General features: G+C 44.9%; 1 protein-coding gene across 6 annotated transcripts in view, besides 3 other annotated features; it reads right to left on the reverse strand.

The window, feature by feature from the left end:
- ZNF75D (zinc finger protein 75D) overlaps window positions 1–9,355 on the reverse strand; it is a 95,521-nt gene extending 86,166 nt beyond the window's left edge. For 3 of the 6 annotated variants that reach the window (NR_110381.2, XM_047442487.1, XM_047442485.1), the window contains exon 1: window positions 8,507–9,355. Coding sequence is in view for 1 of the 6 variants with exons in the window: in XM_047442486.1 (XP_047298442.1) it covers window positions 7,014–7,066 (53 nt within the window). In the remaining 5 variants the exon portion in view is untranslated. Of the gene's footprint in view, window positions 1–7,013 lie in introns of all 6 variants that reach the window. The other 3 variants (XM_011531397.4, NM_007131.5, XM_047442486.1) reach the window with 2 other exon arrangements.
- Window positions 2,759–3,259: an enhancer, noted in NCBI's record as "H3K4me1 hESC enhancer chrX:134471438-134471938 (GRCh37/hg19 assembly coordinates)". NCBI's record gives its function as "activates a minimal SCP1, AML or CMV promoter by ChIP-STARR-seq in primed H9 embryonic stem cells {active_cell/tissue: H9 hESC(primed)}" and the evidence as "EXISTENCE:reporter gene assay evidence [ECO:0000049][PMID:30033119]".
- Window positions 3,260–3,760: an enhancer, noted in NCBI's record as "H3K4me1 hESC enhancer chrX:134471939-134472439 (GRCh37/hg19 assembly coordinates)". NCBI's record gives its function as "activates a minimal SCP1, AML or CMV promoter by ChIP-STARR-seq in primed H9 embryonic stem cells {active_cell/tissue: H9 hESC(primed)}" and the evidence as "EXISTENCE:reporter gene assay evidence [ECO:0000049][PMID:30033119]".
- Window positions 8,954–9,113: an enhancer, noted in NCBI's record as "active region_29980". NCBI's record gives its function as "activates an Ori minimal core promoter by ATAC-STARR-seq in GM12878 lymphoblastoid cells {active_cell/tissue: GM12878}" and the evidence as "EXISTENCE:reporter gene assay evidence [ECO:0000049][PMID:35858748]".

Below are 9,364 nucleotides of genomic sequence, written 5' to 3' on the forward strand. Positions count from 1 at the left end.
CAGTGCAGGGTCTCTGATCATCGCCCAGTGTGTCATGTATATTTATTATACATGTGCATGCTAATACTATTTCTTCTTAGTGCCAGGGAATCCAGTGCCTGAAATACTTTCTTTTTAACCTCACATTTACCCCCAGGACCACAGTTATGAGGGAGCACATGGCCCAGAGAAGATTGGAGGTCCAGAATCTTTACCTCTTTACCTTCCCTGTATGCTGCTACTCCTGGGCCTCTTAGCAGTGGCAGCACCTTCCAAATCCTCTTCACCCCTAACCTCTGTTTTGACCCCAAGCAACTCTACAAACCCTCTAGTCCCAACTGCTGCAAGGACCTACTTCTTTTTACTTCCCAGTCTGAGAAAAGAATGTGTGTGAGTAAAGGACCTCATGGGGATTAAAGAACAGGAGGGCAGAATGGCTGGGGCAGTGATGAGAGGTTGAAGTTTGAGAGGAGGTAGACTGGGAGAAGTAGGCAGGGCCAACTTCTCCTAGGACCTTGTTATATCTGAGAAGGTTTGGGATCTTCTTCTAAGTTCGATGGAGAGTACTGACTATCCCCTTTCCCTATTCCAGTGCATCACGGGGAGCAGCTCCTGAATGCCCCTTCTCTGGGAGGCACTGCTCTCCTGGCTTGCTCTAGCTCGACCACCAGGACTTACCTAATGCCTCCCTGAAGTTGCCTTCTCACTCCCCTTCTGCCCCTCTAGCCAATTTAGTCTCCAGGACACTGTCCCTACCTCACAGCTATGGTGACTTAGGATCAACATTCAAGGTAAATCCAAGGAAATGATGAAGCCTTTTACTCTCCTTGGCAGGATGAGTGAGTTGTGTTCTGAGTGTTGGGAGAAGAAAACAGATCAAAAGCTGAGCTTGTGCTTTACCTGCCCTGGCATGGTATATAAAGACTTCACCTCCAAGTCCTGAGCACCCACATACATATACTCATATATAATTGTGCTATATGCATGTCTGTGTGTATGGATAAACCAGTACTTCACAGGTATACACAGCTCAATGATCCACCGCAAGTAAAACCTGGAACTGCCATCCAAATAAATAAATACAACTTGCCAGCAACTTTGAAATCTCACACCTGGCCCCTCTTAATCACAATATTCTCCCTCCCTCTTAAAGGTTACCACTATCCTGAATTTTATGGTAATCACCAACTTATCCTTTTTTTGTTTTTGCTTCCCACCTAAACTCGCATCATTAAATACTATCCTTATGTTTTCTTCATTAAGAAAAAGTAACCTTTTTGTTACTGTGGTTGCTGTCTGAATATTCCTGTCCCCACATAATTCATATGTTGGAACCTAATAATGTGATAGTATTAAGAAGTGGAGCCTTTGAGAAGAGATTAATTCATGAGGGCTGTACCCTCAGGAATGGGATTAGTGTCCTTTTAAGAGGCCTGAGTGAGTCCCCTACCCATTTGTGCCATGTGAAGATGCAGCAAGAAGGCACCATCTATGAAGCAAGGAGTGAAGCCTCTCTAGAGACCAAATCTGCTGGTGCCTTGATTTTGGACTCCCAACCTCCAGAGCTGTGAGCAATAAATTTCTGCTATTTATAAATTATCCAGTCAAAGGTATTTTGTTATAGCAGCCCAAATAGACAAAGACTGTGGTACATAATATGCACGAACATGTTCAAAGGAAAATGGAATGAAATATCTAACCATATCTGAGGAGTCTGGCTCCTGGCCAAAAACGTATGAGTGACTTTTTAGGCAGCCCTCATGATCTGGGTGAAAGGCTGCCCTCCTTACATCAGAGGTGGTCCACAGCCAATGCACTGCACTGTCCAAAGGGAGCTGCAGTCAAGGGCTCAGTCCCCTACCCAGGCAGCCATCCTCTTACCTATATCTGCATTCCTAGCCCTAGCCCTACTCCTAGCCCACTTATCCGGGGCCTTTAGCCCTGGTGCCTCTGCCTGAACTTCCTTATGGAGAGAGGAAAAGAAATCTTCAAGACACCTTTCTCCATGCTGGCTCAGTACTCAGAACTTTTTCACTCCAGACCTTCCCCTCTCCTTATTCCCAGGTTTGTAAACCACAGGAGCCTTTGTTCGGGGATCCCTTGACAGTGAGACTATTCTTCAAGTGTGATTTCTGTGCTTTACATTCAATCATTGGCCAATGTCATTAAGTTGTTAGGGACCTCCACTAATCAGATACCTGCAAAGAAGTCCTTGAAGTTCTTTCCCAAGGACACACAGCTAGTAAGTTGCAGAGGCACGATTGGAACTAGGTGTGTGTTATCTGTAGCCTGAGGGCCCTTAACCCCACAGCACCTAGAATGACATGGAACTTATCTGCGTGTGGGGGCAGGTAAACAGATATTCATTAAAGGTATGTTGAAAATGAAGATAAGGAAAATTAACTTTTTTCTTGCTATCTAAACAAAATGCTTTTCATATTTTGCTTTATTTTCTTCTTGTCCTTACTTTGTATACACACACATATATACAATGTATATAATTTTTTCTCTCTCAACTTACAGTCATTACACTGTTATTACTTTGTTTTTGTAACCTGTGTTTTTAATTTTATTTGAAAATAAGTGCATTCTTTCTGATTACAAAGCTGGTTTCTTACTGCAGAGGCCTTTTAGTTTCATAATTTCATAATGGCATAAAGCAGAGAATAAAGAGTGAACTATACTGCCATAATGTCAATTATCCAGAGAGAACCACTCAAATTTTTACTTTTATTCATTTTTTACTTTTTAAAATATTTGTAAACATTTTTATATATTTCCTTCTACTCAGTTCTCTACATACCTACCCATTTTTCCTGTTATAAAACTGGAATCACGTGAAAACTTTCAATTGTACCTTCTTTTTGCTCAGGACAGAGTCTTGAAGACACCCACATGTAGGTGGCAGGAATGGAGGAGTGCATTAGGTAAATGGTGTCAGAGGAGGTAAATATTGGAATCCTAAATGCAAAGAGAATTCTCCAAGCAGTCGTCAAATGCTTCTGAGAGGTGAGATGTGAAGGAAAACTGCTAAGAAGAAGTGGCATTCACTACCGAGATGTTCCCTTATGTCATTGGAAAGCAGGCCAGTAGGATGAGGGCGTCAGCTCTAGACTCAGGGCAAAGGAGGCAGGGAAGGGTCAAGAAGGAGAGGGAGCAAGGACAGGGTGCATCTCATGTCAATTTGGTGTGTGAGGTAAGCAGAGAGGAAAGATGATGCAATTTGAGGATTTTGGGGGTTGAGAAGCCCTGAGAGGTGAAGGATCTACTGTCATGTGAGAGAGGGATGAGATGCAAGGAGGAGGAAGGTCACTGATGCAGCAGGAGACAGAGCTCGCAGGATGGGGAGGGATCAGAGACACAATGAGCAGAGGAGGAAGCAACAGTTATTCCAGTTGGGGGTTGGGTGCATCTGTGGAAAGGTGCACTCAACAGACCTGTTCCTCTCTCAGAGAACATTCCTTCCCCTTCCTGTTCTGCACTGTCTTCTGTCTCCTGGCTTCTGCACAAGACAGGTAGACTCAGAATTGTCTCCGCAATCTGGGGTAGAGAGGACTCTAGACAGCTGGGGCAGCCTGAGGGCACTGTATACCTGAGGGGGTGTCAGAGGATGGAAGCAGATGGTACCCATCAGTACCAAAGATTCCAAGAAAGCATGCGATTACAAGTACATATTTCTTTTCTTTAACTCAGGTTTTCTTAATTTTGTTTTAGCATGGAGAACTTTCATCCATATAATAGCTGATAAGGTATTGTAAAACTGCTGTTTCATGAAGTTCAGCTAGAGAAATTTCCTAATGTACATGTAAGCATTTTGGCAATACTTGGAAACTCTGCAGATGTTGACACTTTCTAGTAGATCTGTAATTTGAAGTAACAACTGAGCTGATCAGAAATGTGACTCTCTTTATAACTCATCTCAACATGCTCATAAACTCTTATTTCTACTGATAGAAGAAACTACCAAACCTTGCCACTTTAAGGTGACTCAATTCCTTCTGGTTTAAAATATAATCACTTTTAGGCAATTAATTGCTTATTTTGTTCTTGATTTCAGTTGTGTAGATTTAAAGTCCAATATCCTTATGAAGGCTGCCCTGTCCCTCTCATGTGCCCTTCCCTACTCTCCCTCCTAATCCTTCCCCCTTTTCCTCTTTCTTCATCCCCTCCTCATGCCCCCTTCTCTTCACCTCCCTCCTGCTATTCTTCCTCCTTTACTTCTTCTCCTTGCTTTTCTCCTTCTTGTCCTCCTCTCCCTTCTCTCCCTCTCTCCCTACCCAATCCTCACTTCCTTCTCCTTCAACTCCTCTTCTGACTCTCACTCTTCTTCCCCTCGTCTTCCTCCCCAAGAAATTGTCTGGCTACAGATGACTGCAGCAAGGAGGATGGGCCTGTCCCTTTTGCTCCCTCATCTCCCTTGGTCTTTGAGTGTTTGCCATTTTCCCCTCTATCTTCAACAGATAAGACTGACTCTTCCTGGCCTTTGGCACACAGATGGTGGTATTGATGGTTTCCATCATGGCCTCTAGTCAGGACAGCTACATACTCTGAACCATTCTCTTTCAAGTCCTGGTCCTTGTCTTGCTGACCAGTCTTCTCAGTGCCTCTGTGGATTCTCTTTCTGGGCCTGCAGCTGGAACTCATTCATGCTACAAATGACCCATAGGGAATCTGACAGCACTGTGGCAGGACCTCTCTTTCCTAAATACCAGGCTGTCATTTCTGAACTCCTGTTGCTGCCTCTTGTTGGTGTGGGGCACTGAGGGCAGGTCTCACTCCCAGAGCTACCAGTAGGATGTGGGGCAGCATGCCATTATGCTCCGGAATTCCCAACCTTTCATGGTTCCTGTCTCAATACTCCCCACTTCTTTCCCAAGCCTCCCTCCAGGGTCGCTGCATACATTTACACATATTGTGCACTCTGCAATTAAAGTAGATTCATTCACATGCAATATATCCTGGAGTTGTGCAGTGTACAGCCTGCCTGACAGTACATATTTACCCTGTGCCCAGCCCCCTCCCTCGCTCCACCTTGCCCAGCTCTAGAAGAGCCCTACTCCCTCCTATGGGTCAGATATCAGCATCTATATCTCTCCGAAAGATTTGAGGTTCAGCAAATGTATACTTAAACACAAGTCTAGCTCTAAGAAATTGTGCTCTGAACTTCTCTCCATACACAGCAGTCACTGAAAGAGCTGTGCACAACTTTGGGCACCACAGTACTTAAACAGTGATAGGAAGAATGTGGAGATGGTCCCAATGAAGAGAGACAAATTCAGAATTAGTGCAAATGCTTTTACAGTTGTGATTCACTTTATGCACTTCATACATGAAAACAAACTAAAGCGTTATTCTTTCTTTTCATGTGTGCTCCAATGTAGAAATTATGTCATACTTAGGTCTTGTTTTATGTTTTCTAGACTTTCCCAAGCTTTTTTCTATGAGGATTTTCCTACATATGGAAAAGTTGGAAAAACTGTTCAGTAAACACCTGTACACCCTCCACCACAATCCAATGATTAGCTTTTGGTCATATTTTATGGGTATCATTTTTAATCTCTACATAATAGTTCATCAAATCAATGCATCTTAATTTTTTAGACAATCTCCCCATTTTGGATATATTCCTCGATTCCAAATCCCCAAAATTATAAGTAGTAATGCTTAATGATAATCTCTGAGCACAAGACCCTCCTTTCTGAATTTTTAAAGCCTGTGACAGCTGATAAGCTAAAATGTTGATGCCAGTGCCCCTGAAATTTTAATCTTTGAGGAAGGGTCTAAAGGGACTAATAGAGAATAGAAATTATAAGTGAATTCAGAAGAACAAGTACCTTGATATTGCTAGGAATCCAAATCTTAGAGCAGGCACAGTGTCCGGGGACTCTGTGAGTGTGTGTTTATGGGGGAGGGGTGTCACTGGATTCTACTTGTTCTGCCCAGGAGTACAGGCGTAAGCCACTGTGCCCAGCCCATGAAACGTTAAAGTGGATTGATCTGCTCACCCATGTTGGAGGGTCCAAAAAACATACGTCTCGTGACTGAGAAACAGATTTGTGAGAGGAGCCCCTGCAACCCCAAAAAGTTTTGTAATTGCTCTTCTTTATAGGTCAGAAATTCTAGAGGAAACTACTGCCACTGAACCGGTATAATTAAATGTAATGAGGATAGCTGGATTGTGGGGTGGCAGGGGCCAAGTGGGGGCACTTAATTGACAAAGACAAAGTGTGCATAGTTACTGTAATGGGCAGCAGATTCAATGCAGCAATAAGAATAGTCTGACTCACAGGGACATATGGCATTGATTAGTTGGTCATGGTGTCCCTTGAAGAGAAACAGATGGCAGTCTACTAAATTCTTCCTTGATATATATAAGTGGATGAGTTCTAGATTGAGTGCACAGAAGTCTAACCTGAATCACCAAAATAGTCCTAGCCCTTCGATCAATTCCCAGATTTGAGTCAATTTACAGACCCAGAACCCTATGAATAAAGAAGGACTCCACTCCACTCCACTGCCAAAAATATATACTGCTAATTTTCTGCAGCTTTCCCCAAAGAGATCTATGGCTTTAGGGGTGAATGTGCAGTAGGGAAAATGAAACAATCAAACTTTTCAGCGATTACTGTATATTGCTTCTGAACTAGCACTGATTCCAAAAGCCTCAAAATGTCACTGCAGTTCACCAGTCAGAGTTAACAGTTTATGGTGGTCAGGGGATTGATGGAGTTTTAGTTCAGCTTTGTCTCACAATGGGTCCTCCGGGTCTCTAAACTTATCCTATGGTTATTTCCCCAGTTCCAGAATGTATAATTGGAAGAAAAATACTCAGCAACTGACAGAATCCTCATACTATTTCCCTGATCTGTGGAGTGAGGACTAATGTGGTAGGAAAACGCAAGTGGAAGCCACTAGAACTGTCTTTACCTAGGAAAATAGCAAACCAAGAGCAATACCATACTCCTAGAGAGATTGCAAGAGATTAGTAATACCATCAGTGACTTCAAATATGCAGACATCCCCATTTAACTCACCTGTTTGGCCTATGCAGAAGGCAGATGGATCTTGGAAGATGGTAGTGGGTCATTGTAAACTAAGCCAGGTGATGACTCCAATTGCAGCTGCTGTTCCAGATGTGGTTTCATTTCTTGAGCAAATTAACATATCCCCTGGAACCTAGTATGTACCTCTTGACCTTGAAAATGCTTTTTTTCTCAATAACTGTTAGTAAAGACCACCAGAAGCAATTTACTTTCAGCTGGTAAGACCAGGAATACACCTTCGCCATCCTACCTCAGGCGTATTGTATATCAATTTTCAAGCCCTACATCATAGTTTAGTTCACAGGGATCTTATCACCTTTCTCTTTCACAAGACAACACACTAGTCTGTTACACTGATGACATGCTAATTAGACCTAGTGAACAAGAAGTAGCAACTACTCTACACTTCAGGGCTCCTCTAAGTATCCATTGGCTCCAGTTTGAAATCTCAGTATCCATTGGCTCAATGACTTTCATGCTGTTTTGTAAGGAAAAGGCTCTTCTGAAAACACTTCTGTGCTAGGTCCATGGTGTATGATCTAGGAACCAACCTGCTATCACTTATCATCATGACAGGGCTCGATAGAAAAGAAAAATTATGACAGGAATCTGCGTGTAAATCTTCAATAGAAAACCAGAGTCTGTCCATTTGGACCCAACAAGAGAAAGGGATGGTTTAAACTCAAGGTTTTTATGATGCCATGACCCAGAGTGAATGTGTGTATGTGCTTGTGTGGAGGGTGTGGGGAGAAAGCCCATTTCAGTACACACATGTCCCCCATAGGTCTTCGGTTCCTCCCCCACATTCTCCAGCTGCTCCTGTTCCTCTCAATTAGACAAGCTTACTTGGGTGGCCCTGGGGCAATGACCCCAAAGCCTCAGTGCCAAACTGTTTAAGTTCACAATTAACTGAGACCCATCTCTGCAGAGGAGACCAGACTGCTGCCCCTAACCTAACAGCAGCTCACAGTTTCAAGCACTAGCTGTGTGCCAGCAGTGCGATTATTACGGACATACTGCTCTCCCTTTAATCCTCCAAACAACCCCAGAAGGGTCTATTACCCTTTCTGCATTTGACCAGTGCAGAAAGTGAAGCCCAGCCAAGCAAAAGTCACTTGCCCAAAGTCGCACAGCTAGTAGGGAGCAGAGCCAGGAGTTGAAAGCCCCCTTTGATCTACCTCCAGAGCGGACACTATGACAGCGACACTGCCTCCCCGTGGAAACCAAAAGCAATAGCACACTCTTCACTGCACTGGGGGGAAATCTGGAGGATGAAGGTTCCAGAGAAGACAACAACAACAACAACAACAAAAAATCACTGGCCCGTGTAAGGTCTACTCAGGGCAATCAAGAAAATCTGAATGGGGAATTAAGACAGCGAGATGTCTCAGTCCTCTGGACCCACCAGACCCAGAACCCTATGAATAAAGGGGAGGCTGGGCCTCCTTGAGGAAGATGGCAGATAAAACCTCTCTCTCACTCACCTATTCCCTCAGTTTCACAAGCTCTCTCTTTTAAAAGTCATACATATACTTTAAAAGAGTTACAGCTTCTTCACAGCTCGCCCGTTGCAGCTTCTGCACCCTGCTGTGGATGTCCTGGGACAGGATAGTCAGGAACTCCTCCAACACCAGCAACTCCAGAATCTGCTCCATGGAGCGCATCTCAGGCCAAAGTCACCCATGGCGAAACTCCCATGGCGAAACACCCATGGCGAAACTGCTGGTGTCCCGGGCACCAGCAGCCTCTTGGAAGCAGAACCCTCAGAAGCACAGGTGGGAGGCCGCCAAGCTAGACCTTGGGTCGGGCGGGAGCAGCAGGAGTTCTGGCTCCGGGCGTAGGAACTTCCATAGTTTCCCTCTCACAGGAGGGGAACCTTTTCCGCTCGCGGGAGCCCAGGCCAGACGCCACAGTCAGGCTTCCAGACCACCTTGGCCCCGAAACCAGTTGTGCCCGCCGGCCAAGGCGCCCGGGGCCAGGAGAGAGAGATGATGGCTTCAGCAGGAGTCCGGCGTGCTCCGGTTTCAAGTTCCAGCCGGTGAGCCCAACTTTGGACCCGGCAGAGCTGTCTCCAGTAGCTTCGCCTCACTGGGCTTGGGACGCTGCAGCTCCTGTCCCCGTTTCGCTTCTACCAGGACCTCCGGGAGGCACAAAAGCAGGCAGCTTTCTCCTGTCTGTGTTGGACCCACGCAGGACTAGGCCCCCGGTCCACACGCAGAAAGTCCTAGCACGGAAGTTTGGCGTCCACAGACCAATTTGTCAGCTTAGGACCAACGTTAGGGCTGCGTTTCCCGAACGACACCATTGTATCAAGCGGCCATTGGATCAGGTCTAGCCACAAT

Source organism: Homo sapiens, chromosome X, assembly GCF_000001405.40.
Source record: "Homo sapiens chromosome X, GRCh38.p14 Primary Assembly".
NCBI classification, from domain to species: domain Eukaryota; kingdom Metazoa; phylum Chordata; class Mammalia; order Primates; family Hominidae; genus Homo; species Homo sapiens.